The sequence below is a fragment of the Homo sapiens genome, chromosome 19 (assembly GCF_000001405.40).
Source record: "Homo sapiens chromosome 19, GRCh38.p14 Primary Assembly".
NCBI classification, from domain to species: domain Eukaryota; kingdom Metazoa; phylum Chordata; class Mammalia; order Primates; family Hominidae; genus Homo; species Homo sapiens.
In genome coordinates, this window is record NC_000019.10 from 12,767,387 (window position 1) to 12,788,511 (window position 21,125).

A 21,125-nucleotide genomic window follows, 5' to 3' on the forward strand; every position below is an offset into this window, starting at 1 on the left:
CAGGATACCTGAGCTCCGCAGGCAGGATCTCTGCGGCTAAGTTATCCACGGGTGTGGAGGTGGGATCCAGTGAGGGATCTGAAGAATGCGAGAAAAGTCTTCAGGTCTCTTCGCATCCCCTGTCCCCGCCCCTAGGGTCTTCTTCCCAAGGATCATCTTTTGGGGCTTCAAGTTCAGCCAACAGTCTGGCTTGACACAAGCTCCATCCCCGGCTTGATAGAGAACCGGGAGGGTTGGCCAAGCTTTTTAGCCTTTGCTCCACCCTGAGACCCTGAGCCTCTCTCTTCAATTTGACCGTGTCACCTCTTTCTGGTCACCTCCAGCCTGGCCTAGCTCTGTCCCCAACCTAGACATGCACTGGGACACAACCTGTTCTACCCAAACAGTACACCAGGACAGGTAAGACCCCGGGATGGGGCTTCATCTCACCGGCCTGGGTCAACCCCCGCGGCTGCAGCTGGGCGCAGCGCAGCTCCTCATTGGCCTCCCGCAAGGAGTCCCGCTCCGCCAACAGCCGCTGCAGGGACAGGGTACAAGACACTCCACGGGTCAGGCTCGGCCTCCTGGGAAATGGGCTACCCCAGAATTGGCAGGGTGGGGCTTGGGCAGTGGAACCTCAGCCTCACCTCCTTCTCCTTTGTCACCGACTCATACTTTTCCTCCAGGTTGCGGCATTCAAATAGCCATTTCTCGGCCTTCATGGCCTCCTCCTGCCGCTGGCCCTGCAGTTCCTGCACCTGAACACAGAGAGGGGAGGAATAAGGACAGCAGGGCTGGGAGCAGGGGCAGGGGCTGAGTACAAATGGTCCCCGATCCAGGATGCTTTGACTTATTATTTTTTTGACTTTACTATGGTGCTTTCAGCTGTGTATGTTTTTGCTTGTTTTTTTTAGAGACAGGGTCTCCCTCTGTTGCCCTGGCTGATCTCAAACTCCTGGCCTCAAGCAGTCCTCCCACTTCAGCCTCCCAAAGCACTGGGATTACAGGTGTGAGCCGTTGCACCCAGCCGACTGTGAATGTTAATAGTAGGAACCCATACAACCATTCTGTTTTTCAATTGCAATGAATTAGTCTTCAATAAATTGCGTTATATAGTCAACGCTTTATTATAAAATAGGCTTTATGGTAGATGATTTTGCCAAACTAGGCTAAGGTAAGTTTTCTGAGCATGTTTAAGGTAGGCTAGGCTAGGCTGTGATGCTCAGTAGGTAAAGTATGTTCAATGGATTTTCTTTTTTAAAAAAAATTTAAAAATTTTTATTTTTTGAAAACAGATGGAATCTCGCTATCTTGACCAGGGTGTTCTCGAACTGCTGGCCTCAAGCGATCTCCCATCTCAACCTCTCAAAGTGCTGGGATTATAGGCATGAGTCACCACGCCCAGCTCTCTTTTTCTTTTTCTTTTTTTAATATCTTTTACTTTTTTCTTTTGAGACAGTCTCCCTCTCTCAACCAGGCTGGAGTGCAGTGATGCGATCTTGGCTTACTGCAACTTCCACCTCCCAGGTTCAAGCTATTCTCGTGCTTCAGCTTTCTGGGTAGCTGGGATTACAGGCGCGCGCCACCAGCCCGGCTAATTTTTTTTTTTTTTTTTTTCGAGACGGAGTCTTGCTCTGTCGCCCAGCCTGGAGTGCAGTAGCACGATCTCGGCTCACTGCAAGCTCCGCCTCCCGGGTTCACACCATTCTCCTGCCTCAGCCTCCCGAGTAGCTGGGACTACAGGCGCCCACCACCACGCCCGGCTAATTTTTTGTATTTTTAGTAGAGATGGGGTTTCACCGTGTTAGCCAGGATGGTCTCGATCTCCTGACCTCGGGATCCACCCGCCTCGGCCTCCCAAAGTGCTGGGATTACAGGAGTGAGCCACCACGCCCAGACTAATTTTTCTATTTTTAAGTAGAGACAGGGTTTTGCTATGTTGGCCAGGATGGTCTCAAACTCCTGGCCTCAAGTGATGTGGGGTTACAGAAGGAGTTATGGGGTGCCCGCCTTGGCCTCCCAAAGTGCTGGGATTACAGGCGCGAGCCACCGCACCCGGTCTTTTTCTTTTGTTTGAGTCAGGGTCTCACCCTGTCACCCAGGCTGGAATGCAGTGATGCAGCCACAGCTCACTACAACCTCGAAATCCTGGGCTCAAGTGATCCTCCCGGCTCAGCCTCCCAAAGCGCTGGGATACCAGGCCTGGCCTTTATGCATTTTAGGATATTTTCAATTTACCACGAGTTTTGTTACATGGTTAGGTAGCCCCAAGGAAATCAAGCAGCATGGTGAAGCGGCGGGCATCAAAGAATTTAGAGGAGCGGTACTTAAGGGAAGGGAAAGGCTGGGCTTACTAACCCAGACAGAAGAGCAGCGTGGGTGGAGGGAAGAGGCCCGGAGAGCGTGGCCTACGTACAAATAAGGGAGGGGATCAGGGGTGGGCGGAGGGCTGGCCAACGGTGAGAGACTTGCTGCCAGGGGCGGGGCCCCGGCCCTAACCCCGCCCCCGCCGCACCTGCCGCCGCTGCGCCTCCAGCTGGGCGCGCAGGGAGCCCGCTCGGCGTAGCTCATCCTCCAGTTGTCGCGTGCGCTCGGCGTGGCCGGCGTTGCGTTCCTCCAGCTGCCGCACCTGCCGCCGCAGCTCCCTCAGCTCGCCCAAGCGGCGCCGGCAACTGGTCAGCGTGGCCTCCAGCTGCCCAGCACGCTCCGAAGACTGCCTAGGGGAGTGGGAGGGAAGGGGGAGGGCTGAGAGCTCTGATCAGGGGTCAGCTGGGATGTGGAGTGGCCCTTGGAGCACAGGGTGTTGTTCAGCCTGAGGCTTTTGGGTTCAAGGTGAAGGGGTCATGAAAGTTGAGGGTTAGGGGTCAATCAGGGCCTGGAGCTGTTGAGAGTCATTACAGCAATGGTTAGCCCAGGGTTATAATCAGGTATCCCCTGGGGTGGAATTGTGGGGACACAGAGGGTGGGGTTATAGGGGGAGTGATGGGGAGCCTAGAGAGGTCTGAGCATCTGCCAAGGATACCTTGGAGTCATTGGGGGAGGTATGGGACAAGAGGACTGCGGGGTCCTTAGAAGTGCAATTGGGGGGTGCACTAGTACCTTCGCATTACAGAGATGCTATAGGGGCCCAGTGGAGCCCTTTGTGGTTACAGAAGGCACAGTAGAGTCAAAAGGGGGTGCAAAGTAATTGCATTGTGGAGTCCTAGAAGGTACCATGGGATCCAGGGGCATTATGAAGCCCAAACTGTGCAGTGGGATCTGCAGAGCATTGTAGGGGAGGTTCTTGTGTTTTGGGGGGCCACAGGGATGCTATGGGGTCTTGGAAGCATACTGTGGGATAAGGGGGGGGCAGTGTGGGGTCCAGGGGATATGGTGGAATTCAGGATAGTGCAATGTGGCCTTGGGCGTTCTGTAGGGCTCAGGGTGGCACTGTGGAGTCCAGGGGGCATATTGGGGGTTCACTGGGCACATGAAAATTACAGAGCTGCTATGGCATCAGAGGGGAACTCTGGAAACAGGTTTACCCCCCGCCCCCCGTGATGGGGACCCAGGAACCCACCACTCACCGTAGTTCATCCATCTCATCCTTCAGGGCCTGTGCCTCCTGGGCCAGGCTAGTCAGCGCCTGGTTCCGGTGCTGCAGCTCCGCAACCTCCCTCTCCAGCTCGGCACAGCGCAGGCGCTCATCCTCCCTGCCACTCTCCAGCCTGGGGGTGTTGGGGGAAGAGCACATGAGGGGGCTGCCCTCCCCCGGTCCCCTGGCTTGCCTGGCCCAGTCCCCAGCTGACCACACCTGAAGTTCTCCTCCTGCAACTGCTCCAGCTGGGATTGCAGCAGCAGCAGCTTCTTGGCAGTGAGACCTGGGGTACCCTCGCCTTCAGGCCGGCCCATCCGCTCCCGCAGCCCTGCATTCTCTTGCGCCAGGCTCTGCTTCTCCTCTGACAGGAGCATCAGCTGCGGGCAGGGCAGAAAGATGAGCTTGGGCTTGGAGAGGGGCTACTCAAGTGACCCTGCCCCACCTAGGGCCCTACCTGCCGCTCCAGATCCAGACAGCGCTGCTGTAATTCGTCCCCCTCCTCAGCCTCCTCACTTAGGAAATAGTACCTGCGGGACTGCAGAGATGAGGGGGAAGAGGAACTCAGGGATTCAGGAGAAGGACGGGGGGAGGGAGGCTGAGATCTCTAGAGGCCAAATGGAGGGGGCCAAGAAACCCTCAGGATTGAAAAGAGGGCTGGCGCCGGGTGCAGTGGCTCGCGCCTATAATCCCAGCACTTTGGGAGGCTGAGGCGGGTGGGTTACCTGAGATCAGGAGTTCCAGACCAGCCTGCCCAACGTGGCGAACCCCTTCTCTACTAAAAACACAAAAATTAGCCGGGTGTGGTGGCGTGTGCCTGTAGTCCTGGCTACTCGGGAGGCTGAGGCAGGAGAATCGCTTGAACCCGGGAGGCGGAGGTTGCAGTGAGCCGAGATCGTGCCACTGCACTCCAGCCTGGGTGACAGAGTGAGACTCCATCTCAAAAAAAAAAAAAAAAAAGAAAAAGAAAAGAAAAGAAAACAGGGCTGGGGTTGGAGACTGAAGGAAGAGCGATTCCAGAACACTGGAGACCTGGTACAGGAAGTGGCTAGCACCCTGGAAGATGGGCGTGGCTTACAGGCTTAAGGACAAGCCCCTCCCCCTTAGGCTACCCTGAGCATCTGTAAGTGGGGTCTGGACCTTTAACAAGGTTAAGTCACAAGGTTAATCACAGCAAACTTATCCCCAACTCCCGGCCTTTGGATTTGCTGATCCCTGTGCCTGGAACACCTTTCCCCCAAATCTCTTACCTGGCTGTCAAAGTTGCCATACGTCTCTGGTGACAGGGAGTCAGGAGTGTCTTTGGTCATGAGCTGAGGAGTGGGAAGGGGCATTGTAATGAACTGGATATCTGAGGCCAGCCTTCAAAGTATCTACTATCCAACCTGAGAACCTCTCCATCCTCCCGTCAAGGCCAGTTCTGCCCAATAACCCCAGCCCAGAGGCTGCCCTCCTGCCTCCAACACAGAGGGAAGCCAGATCCCTTGAGCCTGCTAGATTGCGACTTAGAGCTGGGAGGAGCTGGCAGACACATGAGACAGAGATGTCTGGCCAGCTGAGTTCCAGGCAGAGTCCAGACCTTACCAGGGCAGGACCTGTGCCCAGTTCTCTCTGCCCTAGAGATGTCCCCTCTCCTGACATTTTCCAATTGCACACTGAGTGCCCCCACCCACCTCTTGGATGGCTTCCATCACCACATGCTGAACCGATTCTTCCAGCGTCATGATTCTCTGGATGTGGTCTGGGGATCAAGGTGGGGGAGGCTGAGACCCAGGGGTGAGGTGGGGAGGAAGGAGGATTTCCTCAGGCCAGCCCTGGGGACCCCCTAAGCTCCCCATACCCTGCTTTTTCTCGCAACTGATGGCACAGCCCAGCACCAGCTGAAGCAGCTTGCCGAGCTCTGCCGGGTCTGAGAACTCTCCAATGAGGCTCACATCTGGGAGATGCTCTTCTGACACAGGATGCGCCAGGACCTGGGGAGAAGGGGGTGTCAGGGGCTCATGGGCCCACCCTTCTCCCAACTCAACCCCCTGAATCCCTTTACAGTTACTCACATCCTGGGAGTACTCTACTAGGCTCCGTAAGACCATCTTCAGATTGCTGACCTAGGGAGGAACAAGGAACTGTGGACAAGTTCAGAGGCCTCCCACTCTGAATCTGTAGGTCCCATCCTCTCTCCACCTCACTTCTCCTTCCCTGCTCATCTCATCCTATTCTGTCTGCGTGCGCCTTCCTCTAGGGGTGACCTGTCTGGCTGTCTGCCCCTTTTGTCTGCCTGACCATCTTTGTTTCTTTTTTTTTTTTTTTTTTTTTTTGCTTTAGCTTTTTAAGACAGGGTCTGGCTCTGTCACCCAGGCTGGAGTGCAGTGGTGCAATCTTGGCTCACTGCAGCCTCGACCTCCTGGGGTCAAGCAATCCTCCTATCTCTGCCTCCCAGTAGCTGGGACTACAGGCATATGCCACCACAATCGACTACTTTTTTTTATTTGTAGAGAGGAGGTTTTGCTATGTAGCCCAGGCTGGTCTCAAGCTCCTGAGCTCAAGCAATCCTCCCACCTCAGCCTCTAAAATTGCTGGGATTACAGGCATGAGCCACTGTGCCCGGCCTGCCTGACCATCTTCCTTCATATGTCTCCAGAACCAAGTCACTTCTCACCACCTGCCCCACCATCCTTCAGCCCTACCCATCCATCTTTACCTCTCACCTGGATTAGTGCACCAGCTGCCTCTCCTCTTCCACTTTTGCTGCCTACATTTTATTTCTCTCCATGCAGCCAGGGGGAGCTTTATAAAGCCCAAGCCAGGTTGCATCTTTGCTCTGCTAAAACCCTGCCTTGACTTTCCACAGCACTTAAAAATAGAATCCACACCCCCACCATGGCCTGCCAGGCCCCTGATGACCTCATCTCCTACAAATCTTGCCCTCTTGCTCTGTTCTGCCCTCTCTGCCATTCCTCCATCACACCAAGTTTATTCCCAAATCACGGCCTTTACATCTGCTATTCCCTATGCCTGGAACACCGTTCCCCCAAATTTCACTTGGAGATTAACCCATCTGATGTAATCAGCCACCTATGCCCTCATTGCTCTCTCTCAAAGCCCTGCTTTTTTGTTGTCTTCACAGAACTACTGGCATCAAAAGTTTTTTCTTTTTCTTTTTCTTTTTCTTTTTTTCTTCTTCTTGAGACAAGAGTCTCGCTCTGTTGCCCAGGCTGGAGTGCAATGGCTCAATCTCAGCTCACTGCATCCTCCACCTCCCAGGTTCAAGTGATTCTCATGTCTCAGCCTCCCAAGTAACTGGGATTACAGGTGCACACCACCCCACCCAGCTAATTTTTGTATTTTTAGTAGAGATGGGGTTTCAACTTGTTGGCCAGGCTGGTCTTGAACTCCTGGCCCCAGGTGATCCACCCACTTTAGCCTCTCAAAGTGTTGGGATTACAGGCATGAGCCACTGCGCCCAGCCTGGAAGTTAATTTTTATGGTTGTGTATGTGTTGCTTGTCACTAGAATGATGGCTGTGTGGGGCAGGTTTTTGTCTGTGTTATTCCTTGCTGAATGCCCAGGCCTGGCACAGGGTGAGTACTCCATAGATGAATGGATGAACAAATGGTTGATCACCAGACATCTGTCCCTCTTCCTGCCCATCACCCAGGACATGTGCCTAGCTGGCCCGTCCCTGGTCATCTCTTCACCAGTCTGTCCTCTAATCAGGAGTCCACTTGTCACCTTCAGCTTCCAGTTGGGACCTGGATCTTCCGAGATGCCCTGGAGCCATGCCTCGTTGAACCAGGAGGGGTCTCTGGGGGCGAGAAGGTGGGATGAGCAGACTGGGGGACACTTTTGGGATCCTCCCCTTCAGCTCCACTCACATCTGGTTCAGCACATAGGCTACGGCAAGGCCGCTGCTCAGGTCCTGAGGGCTGGCACAGGGAGACGGAACGTGGAACGTCTGTAACTGAGGGGTAAAGGAAAGGACAAGGAAAGAGTTAGGGCCTGGGAGCGCCGAACCGCTCCCCTTTTGCAGACTTTTCCAGTCAGCGAACCTCACATGGTGGGGCGGGCGCTGCTCCGCCACAGCAGCTCTGCGAGGGACTGGCTTCTGCTCACCTGAGACCGGAGGGGGCGTGGCCTCACCTCACCTCTGCCCAACAAACCCTGCGCGTCCAGGCCAGGGTGGTATCGCGAGTCACCTGGGCCCCACAGGCACCACGTGACCAGGCCAATTCACCTGTGTCCTCGCCCCACGTGAACCAACCACAGAGGGGCGGGGCCTCACCTGTCCTTTCCACGCAGACTTGCCACGTGACGGGGGCGGGTGCTCGGGCCAGAGTCCAACGGTCCAGCAAGTCGACGACCCCGCACCTCCCAGCCCCAGCACCAAGAGACTGACCGAACCAGGGCCAGGGATCCCGGGCAAGAGGAGCGGGCGCTCACCTTCCCCTAGCCCCGCCCCACGACCTACCCAGGTGAGCAGAGACCCGCATAGCTCAGCTTTGTCCACGCTCATGGCTCCCGATCGGATTCAATCCAGGCCACGGAGCCCCGGCGCCGCAGCAGCCTCCGGGTCCGCCACCAGCGAGCGCCCGCAGCCCCGACCTCCCGCTCGGCCTAGAGCGCCGCCCCGCCCCGCCCCCCTAGGCGCAGGCCCCGCCCCGCCCCCAAGCCCAGGCTCCGCCTCGGAACGTAATCTCCTCCCTACGCCCGCTCTTGCCTCCAGCCCCGCCATCTTGGATCCGGGCACCGTTCGGGCGCCCGCCCTGCCGCTAGGGGTCAGCCTGGCCCAGCCTTGTGCATCCGAGGGTGGTCCCACCTCCCATCCTCGCCCTGGCCCTTTTTGGGGTGGGAGGTCCTCAAGATCCTTTTGAGACGGAGGTGCTCCACCCTGTTACACAAGCGCATTCACGTCTTTTCCCTGCAACTTAAGTAAATTCTTTTTTTTTTTTTTTTTTTTTTTGAGACGGAGTCTCGCTGTCGCCCAGGCTGGAGTGCAGTGGCGCAATCTCGGCTCACTGCAGGCTCCGCCCCCTGGGGTTCACGCCATTCTCCTGCCTCAGCCTCCCGAGTAGCTGGGACTACAGGCGCCCGCCACCTCGCCCGGCTAATTTTTTGTATTTTTAGTAGAGACGGGGTTTCACCGTGTTAGCCAGGATGGTCTCGATCTCCTGACCTCGTGATCCGCCCGCCTCGGCCTCCCAAAGTGCTGGGATTACAGGCGTGAGCCACCGCGCCCGGCCTTAAGTAAATTCTTGTGTCTAACCACTTTATAATCGGAGCCGTTGTGCGGGGAGGGGCGAGCCCTGGCACTTTCTATGGACTGGGAGAGGGGATGCTAAAGGGGTTTTCCCGCCGGACGCGGTGGCTCTCGACTGTAATCCCAGTATTTTGGGAGGCCTAGGAGGGAGAATTAATTTGGATAGAAGTTGGAGACCAGCCTCTCTTCAAAAAATTTAAAAATTACCCAGGTAGCGGTGGCTCACGCCTGTAATCCCAGCACTTTGGGAGGCCGAGGCGGGCGGATCACGAGGTCAGGTGTTCGAGACCAGCCTGGCCAACATGGTGAAACCCCGTCTCTACTAAAAATACTAAAAATTAGCTGGGCGTGGTGGCGCACGCCTGATTTCAGCTACTCGGGAGGCTGAGGCAGGAGAATCGCTTGAACCCTGGAGGCGGAGGTTGCAGTCAGCCGAGATCGTACCACTGCACTCCAGGGGGCAACAGTGCAAGACTCCTCAAAAAAAAAAAAAAAAAAATTAGCCAGACATGTTGGCGTGTTTCTGTGGTCCTAGCTCCTAGCTCTACAGAGGCTGAGGTGGGAGGATAGCTTGAGCCCAGGAGGTCGAGACTGCAGTGAGCCGTGATAGGGCCACTACACTCCAGTCTGGGTGACAGAGCAAGACTCTGTCTCAAAAAAAAACAGTAAAAATTTAAAAATAGGGCCGGGCGCGGCGGCTCACGTCTGTATCCCAGCACTTTGGGAGGCCTAGGCAGGCGGATCACGAGGTCAGGAGATCGAGACCATCCTGGCTAACACGGTGAAACCCCTTCTCTACTAAAAATACAAAAAATTAGCCGGGCATGGTGGCACGCGCCTGTAGTCCCAGCTACTCGGGAGGTTGAGGCAGGAGAATAGCTTGAACCCAAGAGGCGGAGGTTGCAGTGAGCCGAGATCGCGCCACTGCACTCCAGCCTGGGCGACAGAGTGAGACTGTCTCAAAAAAAATAAATAAAATAAAATAAAATAAAATAAAATGCCTGGCGCGATGGTTCACATCTGTAATCCCAGCACTTTGGGAGGTCGAGGAGGGAGGACTGCTTGAACCCAGGAGTTCGAGAACAGCCCTGGCAACACAGCGAGACTCCGTCTCTACAAAAATAAAATAAAAAATAAAAGTAGCTGGGCGTGGTGGCACGCGCCTATTCCCAGCTACTCCAGAGGCTGAGGTGGGAGGATCGCTTGAGTCCGGGAGGTCAACGCTGCAGTGAGCCGTGGTCGCGCCACTGCACTCCAGCCTGGACGTCAGGGGGGAGACCCTGTTTCAAGAAATAAATAAATGAATGGATCCTCCCTGCATTATTGACTCCAGCAGTAGATAAGGGGACACGGGTATGGTCCTAGGTCGAGAAGAGGTCAGTTAGACACACATGTCCTGGCTGATGGATAGGCACCCTTGCCCAGCCTGGATCCGTCTTCCACGATATTCCCCCCGCGCCTTGCCCTCCCCAGATGCGCGCCCGGCATCACCCCCACCTCAGAACCCAGGATTTGGCTGAAGCTGCCGCGTCGCCCGGGCCCACCAGGGGGCGCGGAGACCGCAGAACGCGGCCTAGGGGGAAGACTGTGCGCCCGCCCTGAAACCCCGGCTGGGGCGGTGGAGCGGGGGTCAATGGAAAGTGATGGGAATTATAGTTAACAATAAATTGCAGTCACCATGTATGGAGTGCTTACTGTATGCAGTCCTTGCGCTAAGCGATTTAAATACATAGACTATTGAATCCTCCCCATGTCTCCAGATGGCAAGTGCTGTTTTAATTCCCTGCTTTGCCGGCGAGAAAACAGAGGTTCCGAGTGGACCGGGTTTTGAGGGGAAGGGTGAAGCCCAGGCTCGCGCCCTGTGACCCCAGGGTCCCTCTGCAACCCCTCCCCGGTAGACGGGCGGGGTAATGTGCACTAATTAGAGGTTATTAGCTGTACCCAGAGGGAGGGGCGGGCTCTGCATTGGGGGCGGGCCCAGATCGGAGGGGAGGGGCGCTGCTCCCACCCACCCAGAAGATCCTGGCGCCAGAGACCTTGCCCCGGAGCAGGGTGGGCAAAGTGACAGCTGCTCCCCGCGCGCATCGCACGAACGCAGTCACTCACCCCCAGACACCCGATTACAGCCCACTCATGCGCAGCCGTACGCACCCGGGGGCCTCGGATGCTCGTCCATATCCCCACAACCTCCTCCCGCGTGGTTTTCCAGACTCCAGCCCCTGGGAGCGGGTGGAGAGGATAGTGGGGGAAGGGGACAAGGGCCGGCAGCGCTGGCTTCCGGACTGGGCTGTCTTCCGGCGGTCGTGGGAACAGCTGCCGTTGGCTCCCCGACCTCGCATTCACCAGAGGAGAGGGTGCTGCCAATACAGGGAAACAGGGCCACCCCGTTCCCAGGTAGCAATGGGAGGTGAGCCAGGAACCACAGCTGTTACAAGCATGGGTGGCTGGACATGCTGAGATCACCACATTAGGGCGGGGGTCGCAGGGATTTTGATGTTTAGGGGAAATCTGGAAATCCAAATATTTAGGCAAATTGACTTAAATTGTGCTAATGTTGGCGTGATGTTGTGGGCGTCCCAGATGTTCGGGGAGCCAGGAGTCCCCAGACTTAAGGAAAATCTGGGTGTGCTCAATTTGGGGGAGGAGCATAACCCTCCATTTTGCGGCGGCAGGGAGTCCCACATTTGGGGAAAAGCAGTGAGCTTCTATGTCGGCGGGGAAGACAGCAGCAATCTCTGTTTTGAAACACAGGGAGCCCCGCTGTGCGGAGATCCAGGCACCTTTAATTCAGCAAGAGGGGCTGAAAAACCCTCCACATTTTGGAAGAAGGATCCAAACCCCTGTTTTAGGTAAAGAGAGCCCCCAACGTTTTGGGGGATGGTCTGAAGGCCGCCATTTGTAGGGACACAGAGCCCTGGTGTGCAGGTCTGGGCCAGCAGCCCCCAGCTGGATTGGGGAGCCCACCCCCTCTACTGGTTTCCAGGAACAGCTGGGCCCAGCCTAGGTTGTACTGCTGGGAAGCGGCTGACTCAACCCCTCCCTGTGGCCACAGCTGGACCCCGGCCTGCCCCCTCCAGCGTTCACATCTGGGCAGGGATCCAGTCTTCATCAGGGCTGAGAAGGGGACCCTCAGTCCCACAACTGGAGAACAGTGCCCCTCTGCCACTCCCCTGGCTGACCACAGCCACTGGGTGGACTCCATGCATCATCACCATGGAGGACTCTGGCAGGCCCCCTACAGCCCAGATATTGACATCCTGCCAGGAACTCCTAGCCAGTCCCCCCTCCCTGTGTCTGTGTGTGTCTGAGTCCATGTGAAATGTGCTAGGTTTTTTTGTGTTTTTGAGAGAAAGGGTTTTGCTATGTTGCCCAGGATGGTCTCGACCTCCTGACTTCAAGTAATCCTCCTGCCTCTGCCTCCTAAAGTGCTGGGATTTCAGGCGTGAGCCACGGCGCCTGGCCAAATGTGCTGGTCTTTGTAGGTGTGAGATGGAGGATCTGTGACTGTGTGTACACGGGCATGTGTCCTGCATCCATTGTGTCATAAGGCCTTCGAGTTTGTGCAACAGGCTGTGCCTGATTTGATGGGGGGGAGGGCTGGTTTCGGGGACTGGGGGAGGGGAAATTTGTAACATCCTTGTCGGTAACATCCTTGTCCGTAACATCCAGGTTGGGGCCGGGCTTGGTGGCTCGCGCCAGTAATCCCAGCACTTTGGGAGGTCAAGGCAGACAGATCACTTGAGGTCAGGGGTTCAAGACCAGCCTGGCCAACATAGTGAAACCCTGTCTCTACTAATAATACAATAATCAGCCAGGCGTGGTGGTGAGCGCCTGTAATCCCAGCTACTCAGGAGGTTGAGGCAAGAGAATTGCTTGAACCTGGGAGGCAGAGATTGCAGTGAGCCGAGAACGCGCCATTACACTCTAGCCTAGGTAACAAAGCAAGACTCCATCTCAAAAACAACAACAACCAAAAAAACCCATCCAGATTTTAGGGTGACTAGGGAACCTCTAGTGTGTGCCCCTGTGTATCTCTGTATGGTCCAGGCAGAGTTTGGGTGGGGCTCTCTCACTCCAATTGCATCTTCATGTGTTGTGTGTCTGTGTCTACTATATACGTCTATATGGGACCTCACTTTGGGTCTATATCTGTGTCATTCTTTTTTTCTTTTTCTTTTTTTGAGACGGAGTCTCACTCTGTCACCCAGGCTGGAGTGCAGTGGAGCGATCTCGGTTCACTGCAAGCTCCGCCTCCCGGGTTCACACCATTCTCCTGCCTCAGCCTCCCAAGTAGCTGGGACTACAGGCGCCCGCCACCAGGTGTGGCTAATTTTTTGTATTTTTAGTAGAGACGAGGTTTCACCGTGTTAGCCAGGATGGTCTCGATCTCCTGACCTCATGATCCGCCCACCTCGGCCTCCCAAAGTGCTGGATTACAGGCGTGAACCACCGCGCCCGGCCTTTTTTTTTTTTTTTTTTTTTTTTTTTTTGAGACAGAGTCTCGGCCGGGCACGGTGGCTCACGCCTGTAATCCCAGCACTTTGGAAGGCCGAGGTGGGCGGATCAGGAGGTCAGGAGATCGAGACCATCCTGGCTAACACAGTGAAACCCCGTCTCTACCAAAAATACAAAAAATTAGCCGGGCGTAGTGGCGGGCGCCTGTAGTCCCAGCTACTGGGGAGGCTGAGGCAGGAGAATGGCGTGAACCCGGGAGGCGGAGCTTGCAGTGAGCGGAGATGGCTCCACTGCACTCCAGCCTGGGTGACAGAGCGAGACTCCGTCTCAAAAAATAATAATAATAATAAATATAAAAATAAAGAAAAAGAAGGCTGGGCGCGGTGGCTCACGCAGGTAATCCCAGCACTTTGGGAGGCCGAGGTGGGCGGATCAGGAGTTCAGGAGATCGAGACCATCCTGGCTAACACGGTGAAACCCCGTCTCTACTAAAACTACAAAAAAATTAGCCGGGCATGGTGGCGGGCGCCTGTGGTCCCAGCTACTCGGGAGGCTGAGGCAGGAGAATGGCGTGAACCCGGGAGGCAGAGCTTGCAGTGAGCCAAGATCATGCCACTGCACTCCAGCCTGGGCGACAGAGCAAGACTCCGTCTAAAAAAATAAAATATAAAAAAAATAAATAACGAAAAAGAAAAAGAGACAGAGTCTCGCTCTGTCGCCCAGTCTGGAATGCAGTGGCGCCATCTCAGCTCACTGCAAGCTCCGCCTCCCGGGTTCACGCCATTCTCCTGCCTCAGCCTCCCCAGTAGCTGGGACCACAGGCGCCCGCCACTACGCCTGGCTAATTTTTTGTATTTTTAGTAGAGACGGGGTTTCAGTGTGTTAGCCAGGATGGTCTCGATCTCCAGACCTCCTGATCCGCCCGCCTTGGCCTCCCAAAGTGCTGGGATTACAGGCGTAAGCCATCGCGCCCGGCCGTCCACTTGACGTTTTGAGTGTCCCTGTACGTGGTCTTGTCTCTGTGACTGTATCCCATTTCGTGCCCCCTATTTGTGGTAACAGGGGTCATGCGATGGCATGACTATCTTATGTGTCTGTATGTATCTCTGTGCCACCACAATCACCATGGAAGAAGTGTGGCTGTGTGACAAAACAAGCCCTGGTGTGCAAAACTGTGTCCCTCCCTGTTCCTGTTTTTTTTTTTTCTTTTGAGACGGGGTCTCCTGTGTCGCCCAGGCTGGAGTGCAGTGGCACAATCGCTGCTCAGTGCAGCCTTGAATTCCTGGCCTCAAGTGATCCTCTCGCCTCAACCCCCACATACCTGGGACTATAGACACGACTATAGGCATGCACCACCATGCCCAGCTCATTAAGAAAAAATATTTTTGTAGAGACAGGGGTCTTGCTATGTTGCCCAGGCTGGTCTTGAACTACTGGCCTCAAGCGATCCTCTGGCCTTGGCCTCTCAAAATTCTGAGATTACAGGCCTGAGCCACTGCGCCCGTCCTATTTTGCTGGATGGGGTTGCTTTATCAGGATGTATCTGCCACCTACCTATGTATGAATATGGCTCTGTTTGCGTCCCTATCACAAACGCTATGTGACTGACGTGCCTGTGTGATTGTCTGCGTCTCCATCCACGTGTGTCCGTGTTCGCTGCGAGGCTGGCTGGACTAGAATGGGTTGGTGCCAAGATGTGGCAGGTGTATCCTGCGTCCGTGTGACACTGTGGGTCGGGGAGTTTGTTTGTGACTTTGTGTGTAGGGGGCGGGAAGTGGGAGTCAAAGTCACAGAGGACAGCAGGCTGCGCGGACGCAGTGATGTGCGCAGAGGGCCTCCCGCCCCGCCGTTCCCCTCCGGGAGGCGCCCTCCCCGCGTTGCGGGGGCGCGTGCGTCGTGCGTGACGTGAGACACGACGGGGGTCGCTGCGTGCGTGGAACCCGACGCGGTCGTGCGTGCAAGCGCGGGGGGTGGAAGGGCGGGAGCTCTGCACTGGCTGCGTGCGCGCGTGCGTGGGCGGTGGCGGGGGCTGGGCGAGCGGAGGCGCGCAGGGCAGGACCAGCCCCGCCCCGGCCGGGACCTTGGGGCGCCGGTGAAACCCGGGAGGGGGCCTCCGTTAACCCCTTCCTGCCCGATCCGAAACTTGTGGCCCCTCGACCGAGCGCCCGGGGGCTTCCCCAGCGCCTGACGGGAGGGCAGTCCCTGTTGGGGGAGGGACCTTTCCCATGGAGCTGAGACCCCCCCCCCAGTTGCCATGGGAACCAGAGCTTCCCGCGTAGCCAGGCGCGTGTTTCCTTTCCCCGCCCAGCCATCCTGCTTTTCCTCCAGCTGCCTAGTCTACTGACAATGCGCTTCCCGCTCGTGATCCCGGGAGAAGGGGGCTGGGGTCAGCGTCGCCCGGGCGTGCGTGACTCAGGCCAGCCCGGGGGTCCCCTGGCCGCAGCTGGCCTCGCTCCCGCTTCTCCGCCCCCGTGACTCACCCCTCCCGGCTTTCCCCGCGTGTGACTCAGGCCCCTGGGGAGGGGGCTGCGGAGTCTGGGACCCCTACAGACAGTGGGGCCGAGAACCAAGTTCTGGGGACTTCGCTCTCCGCGGGGAAGGCCTCCCCCACCAGCGAGCATCCGAGGGCCAGCGACTCCCCTTAGCAAGCCAGAGGCGCCCCCCCCAACTCCGCCTCTGAATTGGTAGACCCCCCACCCCCACCCCTGCAAACCTCCGGGAACCCAGCCCCCAACCCCTCCTCCCAGCCCACAGGAAGTTTTGGCAGAGCCCGTCGCGGCGATGAAACGGTTAAAGCCGTTTTCTTATTCATTTCATCCAGGGGCCCATTTTGACTCAGAGCAAGCCGGCGCCCCCCTCGAGCCTGGCCTCCTGGGGGCCTGGGTGCATACTCCACCCCACATGTACCATTTTTAGAGAGGGGAGGATGGCGCTTGGTGAGCTGGCTGGGGGTCTTGGGTAGCATATAGAGCTGGGTTCAAATCCTGTCTCTGCCCTCATTGCTGCCTGGACCTCAGTTTCCCCATCTGAAAATGAGGGATCATTATGTCCAGCTTGTTGGGTTGTTGTGGGGATTAGGTGAATAATAGATGGGAAACTCTGCATCCAGGGTTGAGCACGGGAGCCAGAAGAGGGCTCCTCCTGTTTCTCAGGCCTGGGTGTCAGGGTGCCCAGCAGAAGCGAGTCCTTGCCGGGCAGGCCATGCCCCACCCAGACACTCTAAGGCCATGGGGTTCATCTTGTCCACCCCCTGCCCGAGGCAGGCACCCAGGAAGTGAGAGGCGGGGCAGGAATGAGGCACAACCTGTTGGGCCCGTCACCTCCCCGCCCCCCACCCTCATTCCAGTGCCCTGAGAGGGCCCCCCCACGCTGCAGCCCCACCCCCGCCGCCCTGGACGCCTGGGTCCTGACCCGCGGGTGGCCCGAGGGAGGGGACGTCGGATGGAGACTGTGTCTCGGGAACATCCTGTGGACTGCTGGCTGGACAGACGGAGGAGGGTCAGCCCCTCCCGGGGCAGGGCAGACATTGACTGGGGGCAGAGTAAACATGGCCCAGGGTGACCAGACAGGGGGCGGGCGGGGGGCTGTAGGAATGTACACACAGTCACCCCGAGAGAGCCAGTCCAGACACACAAACCCCTGTCACCTTGGCCACAGAGAGACTGCCAGCCAGGGACACACAGACAGGGTCAGACATACAGCTGGGTAAGATGATCCAGCAATGACTGTCACACATGGACACAGTGACAGACCAGACCCTCAAGCAAGAGACACACACCGTCAAACACATGAACGCATCCACTGGTCAAAAATACGCAGGCAGGCCGTGTGCGGCGGGGATAAATCAACCCAGCACATAAGCATGATAGACACAAACACACAGAGACTGACATTCAGGTGAGAGGCACACAGCAAGGCAGACACAATGGCGTGTGACACACATGGAGACAAACACAATAGGCTAGAAACATAGGGGCAAGACAGACACAGAGTGAACTATATGTGAGACAAGCAGGCAACATGTGCATGCTGATAGGAGAGACAGTCACTTTCAGCACCAGCACCCCGAGAGCCACACGAGAGATATGCAGACACAGGCATGCACTATCAGATCCTGACACGCAAGAGAAGGCAACACACACACACCCCAGATCTCCAACTCAGAAGATAGAGACAAGACAAGAGAGACAAACCTAGGGACAGAGATGATGTGTTCACAGTATGGCAGAGAGTCCCTGGCACCCTGGCCCACCACTGTTGCACACACATCAGAGATGCTCCCAGGGACACCAAGCCGAAGCCTTAGAGGTACACACCATCTCACCAGGAACACACACATGTGGGACCTGGCAACAGATTGGGTAGATCTGGGCAGACTGACACATTCACAGACATGGTCTGGCCAGACAGTCACACCCAGTGCAGAGAGGCACAGACAGGCCACAGTGGGACATTCATAAACACATCGGCACAGAAAGACCATGACAAAACCTGTTTGCACACACACACATGCACACATACAAACGGAGATCAGTAACAGGCAACATACAGATCAGCCACAGAACACACACATGGAAACAAGCCACAGACCTCACACACAGAGACCACACACACACACCAAACACAAACCAGCCACAGACCTCTTTTTCACACACACACACACACACCAGATCGTATACACACATACATACAGACCAGCCACAGACCTCTTTTTCACACACACACAAATGCACATTACAGATCGTATACACACAGACCAGCCACAGACCTCTTTTACACACACACAAACAGATCATATACACACATACAGACCAGCCACAGACCACACACACAAACACACATACACACCGACACAAGTTAGCCATAGGAACTTTGAAACAACCTACACGTACATACATCTAGACCATGTGCAACCCATCCTATAGAGCTCACACACACACAGAGTGGAACAGAACTCTACACAGATAAGCCCTACATAGACCTTTGCATCCAGGGCTGGGCACAGAAGCGGGCAGAGGGCTACTCCTGTCTCTCAGGCCTGGGTGTCAGGGTTGGACCAGCACACACTCTCACATGCACCCTATAGGCCAGTCACACGCTTGCCCCCTGGACCTTGCCAAGGTTCTGTGGGGGCACTGGACACCCCAGTCTGTCTCTGCCCCACAGAGATCCTGGCACTTCCTCTCTCCAAACATCACCCCCACTTCCCTCCCTCTTTGCTTTTGCCACTTCCCCTAGGAGGCCTAGCTCAGCAGCCTCTGCTCCTGCTGGGGTGGGGGCCTGCTATAAAGAGGTCACCCAGGGTCTTGGTGATGCCCAGGTCCCCCAAGGCTTCACCAGCAGTGGCAGGGATGGAAGCAGCTTCCTGAGAAACTCCCCTCATGCCCAACCATGTCAGCCTGGAGAGAGAGAAAGAGAGAGACTCTCCTTCCTGCTTCCAAGAAAACCTAGCAGCTTCCTCTCCAGGAGAGGGGGCAAAGGACCCCCAAACCACAGAGGTGGGAGAGGGAGGCGGCTGGTAGGCCAGGAGTTCCTGGGGGAGGGCTCCTGCCGGGCCTCAGATCCACACCCAGGGGCAGGGACACGGGAGGGAGGCTGGGTGCTGTGTGCTGCGATTTGTGGGTTCTCGCCCTGGCCTGCCCACTGGCTGACTCACAGGCAGCCCCCAGCCCAGTTTCCTAGTGAGGGCCCCACTGGTCAGTGGGGCCAGCAGGGAGGGGGGTCACCGGGCTATTTATAAGAAGGAGAAGTCCCTCGTGCCAAGACCAAAAGCCCCGAAGACACTTGTGGGTGGGGGTGGGTGAACTTCCTCCTTATCCTGTGCCCTAGGCCCCAGGCCCTGGGGCACTGGGGAAGCCTGCGCAGGGACTTCTTAGCCAGGTGCTGGTCTGGAGCCCAGGGCCTGGGCAGTACCCAGCTGCCAGTCTGGACGCTCAGGCCAGTTGGGGGAGGGGGCTGTTCTCCCACCCTCCTCGTGGGGCCGGCCTGGCGCCAGTGGGGCGGCTTGAGGGGGTGGTGCCCAGGCCACAAGGGTGACACTGGCAGAGGCCTGGAACCGGCTGTACCAGCTTGGCTGGGCCCCCGCCCTCCCTGTCTGGCCCAATCTCCACCCCGTGCTCAAACACCCATGCAGAGTGTTTGGAGGAACCCTACTCCCACATGCTGGCCTGTCCACAGAGACCCGTGCCCCTCTGTCTGTGCCCCACCACATTTCTCCCCCAATTAAAGGAGACCCTCAGTGGGGTGCGGTGGCTCACACCTGTAATCCCAGCACTTTGGGAGGCCCAGGTGGGAGGATCCCTTAGGGCCAGGACTTCCAGACCAGCCTAGGCAACAGAATGAGACCCTGTCTCAATAAAATATAAAAAAATAAAACTTAGCAGTTGTGGTGTGCTTGTAGTCCCAGTTACTCTGGAGGCTGAGGCAGGAGGATCGCTTTTACCCAGGAGTTCAGGGCTGCAGCGAGCTATGATTGTGTAGCTGAACTCTAGCCTGAGCAACAGAGTGAGATGGTCTTGTTTTGTTGCCCAGGCTGGAGTCCAGTGTCAAGATCATGGCTCATGTGATCCTCCTGCCTCAGCCTTCGGAGTAGCTGGAACTACAGGCACACCCTCCTGACCTCAGCTAATTTTTAAATTTTTTTGTAGAGATGGGGGTCTTGCTGTGTTCCCCAGGCTGGTCTCAAAAATTTCTGGGCTAGGGCTGGGCGAGGTAGATCATGCCTGTAATCCCAGCACTTTGGGAGGCTGAGGCGGGCAGATAACTTCAGGTCAGGAGTTCGAGACCGGCTTGGCCAACATGGTGAAACCCCATCTCTACTAAAAATACAAAAAATTAGCCTGGCGTGGTGGCATGCGCCTGTAATCCCAACTATTCGGGAGGCTGAGGCAGAAGAATAGCTTGAACCTGGGAGGTGGAGGTTGTAGTGAGCTGATATTGTGCCACTGCACTCCACCCTGGGCGACAGAGTGATATTTTGTCTCAAAAAAACAAAACAAAACAAACAATAAAAAAAAACTCCTGGGCTCAAGTGATCCTCCCCCTCGGCCTCCCAAAGTGCTGAGATTATAGACGTGAGCCACTGTGTTTGGCCAAAGTGAGGTTCTCTTTAAAAAAACAAAAAAAGGGCCGGGCATGGTGGCCCACGCCTGTAATCTCAGTACTTTGGGAGACTCAGGCGGGCTGATCACAAGGTCAGGAGTTCGAGACCAGCCTGACCAATATGGTGAAACCCCGTCTGTACTAAAAATACAAAAATTAGCTGGGCATGGTGGCATGCGCCTGTAATCCCAGCTACTCAGGAGGCTGAGGCAGGAGAATCGCTTGAACCCAGGAGGCGGAGGTTGCAGTGAGCCAACATCATGCCATTGCACTCCAGCCTGGGCGACAGAGCAAGACTCCATCTCAAAAAACAAACAAACAAACAAACAAACAAAACACCAAAAAAAGAGGCCCTTCATGAGACGGCCTGCAGCTGGTACTGCATACATGCTTCTCTGGTTGTCATTATTCACAACACAGTGGCTAATGCTCTGAAGCCAGACAGCTTGGATTATATCTCAACTCTAGTGCTTCTAGCTGTTGGACACCAGACAAGTTCCTTAATCTCCTGTGGCTCAGTTTCTCATCTGTTACATGGGGATACAAATAACATGCATTTTGCTGGATTGTTGGAAGCAGTCGATGACTTATTTTATGTTAACCACTTAGAAGAGTGCCTAGCCCACAGTAAGAGCCATGTAAGTGTTGGCTATTAAAATAATAATTATTATTTCTCAGCCTATCTATCTTAAGTGTTTCTGAGTCTCACTGTCTGCGTGACACTAACCTTGAACCCATTTGTCTCTCTGGGCATCTCTCCCT

General features: G+C 56.0%; 1 protein-coding gene and 1 non-coding gene across 10 annotated transcripts in view, besides 16 other annotated features; one reads left to right on the forward strand and one right to left on the reverse strand.

The window, feature by feature from the left end:
* The window catches only part of HOOK2 (hook microtubule tethering protein 2), a 29,348-nt gene that overhangs the window by 4,384 nt on the left and 3,839 nt on the right, over positions 1-21,125 (reverse strand). For 2 of the 9 annotated variants that reach the window (NM_001100176.2, NM_013312.3), the window contains exons 1-14: positions 8,019-8,166; positions 7,426-7,511; positions 7,283-7,355; positions 5,608-5,658; positions 5,394-5,526; positions 5,227-5,294; positions 4,804-4,866; positions 4,011-4,091; positions 3,773-3,933; positions 3,546-3,686; positions 2,495-2,696; positions 627-737; positions 430-517; positions 9-78 (exon numbers count right to left, since the gene is read on the reverse strand). In NM_001100176.2, the coding sequence (NP_001093646.1) occupies positions 9-78; positions 430-517; positions 627-737; positions 2,495-2,696; positions 3,546-3,686; positions 3,773-3,933; positions 4,011-4,091; positions 4,804-4,866; positions 5,227-5,294; positions 5,394-5,526; positions 5,608-5,658; positions 7,283-7,355; positions 7,426-7,511; positions 8,019-8,063 (1,373 nt within the window). In that variant the 5' untranslated portion in view covers positions 8,064-8,166. Of the gene's footprint in view, positions 1-8; positions 79-429; positions 518-626; positions 738-2,494; positions 2,697-3,545; positions 3,687-3,772; positions 3,934-4,010; positions 4,092-4,803; positions 4,867-5,226; positions 5,295-5,393; positions 5,527-5,607; positions 5,659-7,174; positions 7,356-7,425; positions 7,512-8,018; positions 8,167-10,913; positions 11,048-21,125 lie in introns of those variants that run through there. The other 7 variants (NM_001400044.1, NM_001400045.1, NM_001400046.1 and 4 more) reach the window with 7 other exon arrangements.
* Positions 2,368-2,597: a silencer, noted in NCBI's record as "silent region_10167". NCBI's record gives its function as "represses an Ori minimal core promoter by ATAC-STARR-seq in GM12878 lymphoblastoid cells {active_cell/tissue: GM12878}" and the evidence as "EXISTENCE:reporter gene assay evidence [ECO:0000049][PMID:35858748]".
* Positions 3,556-4,056: an enhancer, noted in NCBI's record as "H3K4me1 hESC enhancer chr19:12881756-12882256 (GRCh37/hg19 assembly coordinates)". NCBI's record gives its function as "activates a minimal SCP1, AML or CMV promoter by ChIP-STARR-seq in naive and primed H9 embryonic stem cells {active_cell/tissue: H9 hESC(naive and primed)}" and the evidence as "EXISTENCE:reporter gene assay evidence [ECO:0000049][PMID:30033119]".
* Positions 4,057-4,557: an enhancer, noted in NCBI's record as "H3K4me1 hESC enhancer chr19:12882257-12882757 (GRCh37/hg19 assembly coordinates)". NCBI's record gives its function as "activates a minimal SCP1, AML or CMV promoter by ChIP-STARR-seq in primed H9 embryonic stem cells {active_cell/tissue: H9 hESC(primed)}" and the evidence as "EXISTENCE:reporter gene assay evidence [ECO:0000049][PMID:30033119]".
* Positions 7,088-7,768: an enhancer, noted in NCBI's record as "H3K27ac-H3K4me1 hESC enhancer chr19:12885288-12885968 (GRCh37/hg19 assembly coordinates)". NCBI's record gives its function as "activates a minimal SCP1, AML or CMV promoter by ChIP-STARR-seq in naive H9 embryonic stem cells {active_cell/tissue: H9 hESC(naive)}" and the evidence as "EXISTENCE:reporter gene assay evidence [ECO:0000049][PMID:30033119]".
* Positions 7,769-8,447: an enhancer, noted in NCBI's record as "H3K27ac-H3K4me1 hESC enhancer chr19:12885969-12886647 (GRCh37/hg19 assembly coordinates)". NCBI's record gives its function as "activates a minimal SCP1, AML or CMV promoter by ChIP-STARR-seq in naive H9 embryonic stem cells {active_cell/tissue: H9 hESC(naive)}" and the evidence as "EXISTENCE:reporter gene assay evidence [ECO:0000049][PMID:30033119]".
* Positions 7,769-8,625: a biological region, named in NCBI's record as "CRISPRi-FlowFISH-validated DNASE2 and PRDX2 regulatory element". NCBI's record gives its function as "regulatory_interactions: DNASE2 | PRDX2".
* Positions 7,984-8,625: a transcriptional cis regulatory region, noted in NCBI's record as "promoter|chr19:12886184-12886825 region (GRCh37/hg19 assembly coordinates) targeted for CRISPR interference". NCBI's record gives its function as "positively regulates DNASE2 and PRDX2 gene expression in K562 cells {active_cell/tissue: K562}" and the evidence as "EXISTENCE:mutant phenotype evidence [ECO:0000015][PMID:31784727]".
* Positions 8,010-8,229: a silencer, noted in NCBI's record as "silent region_10168". NCBI's record gives its function as "represses an Ori minimal core promoter by ATAC-STARR-seq in GM12878 lymphoblastoid cells {active_cell/tissue: GM12878}" and the evidence as "EXISTENCE:reporter gene assay evidence [ECO:0000049][PMID:35858748]".
* Positions 10,125-10,645: a transcriptional cis regulatory region, noted in NCBI's record as "intergenic|chr19:12888325-12888845 region (GRCh37/hg19 assembly coordinates) targeted for CRISPR interference". NCBI's record gives its function as "positively regulates PRDX2 gene expression in K562 cells {active_cell/tissue: K562}" and the evidence as "EXISTENCE:mutant phenotype evidence [ECO:0000015][PMID:31784727]".
* Positions 11,501-11,550: an enhancer, noted in NCBI's record as "active region_14077". NCBI's record gives its function as "activates an Ori minimal core promoter by ATAC-STARR-seq in GM12878 lymphoblastoid cells {active_cell/tissue: GM12878}" and the evidence as "EXISTENCE:reporter gene assay evidence [ECO:0000049][PMID:35858748]".
* Positions 11,745-12,345: a transcriptional cis regulatory region, noted in NCBI's record as "intergenic|chr19:12889945-12890545 region (GRCh37/hg19 assembly coordinates) targeted for CRISPR interference". NCBI's record gives its function as "positively regulates PRDX2 gene expression in K562 cells {active_cell/tissue: K562}" and the evidence as "EXISTENCE:mutant phenotype evidence [ECO:0000015][PMID:31784727]".
* Positions 14,905-15,785: a transcriptional cis regulatory region, noted in NCBI's record as "intergenic|chr19:12893105-12893985 region (GRCh37/hg19 assembly coordinates) targeted for CRISPR interference". NCBI's record gives its function as "positively regulates JUNB and PRDX2 gene expression in K562 cells {active_cell/tissue: K562}" and the evidence as "EXISTENCE:mutant phenotype evidence [ECO:0000015][PMID:31784727]".
* Positions 14,925-14,974: a silencer, noted in NCBI's record as "silent region_10169". NCBI's record gives its function as "represses an Ori minimal core promoter by ATAC-STARR-seq in GM12878 lymphoblastoid cells {active_cell/tissue: GM12878}" and the evidence as "EXISTENCE:reporter gene assay evidence [ECO:0000049][PMID:35858748]".
* Positions 15,005-15,514: a silencer, noted in NCBI's record as "silent region_10170". NCBI's record gives its function as "represses an Ori minimal core promoter by ATAC-STARR-seq in GM12878 lymphoblastoid cells {active_cell/tissue: GM12878}" and the evidence as "EXISTENCE:reporter gene assay evidence [ECO:0000049][PMID:35858748]".
* Positions 17,065-17,585: a transcriptional cis regulatory region, noted in NCBI's record as "intergenic|chr19:12895265-12895785 region (GRCh37/hg19 assembly coordinates) targeted for CRISPR interference". NCBI's record gives its function as "positively regulates JUNB and PRDX2 gene expression in K562 cells {active_cell/tissue: K562}" and the evidence as "EXISTENCE:mutant phenotype evidence [ECO:0000015][PMID:31784727]".
* Positions 17,765-17,884: an enhancer, noted in NCBI's record as "active region_14078". NCBI's record gives its function as "activates an Ori minimal core promoter by ATAC-STARR-seq in GM12878 lymphoblastoid cells {active_cell/tissue: GM12878}" and the evidence as "EXISTENCE:reporter gene assay evidence [ECO:0000049][PMID:35858748]".
* On the forward strand, positions 19,742-19,806 carry MIR5684 (microRNA 5684). The gene has a single exon (NR_049864.1). It is a non-coding gene; the product is annotated as a microRNA 5684 (primary transcript).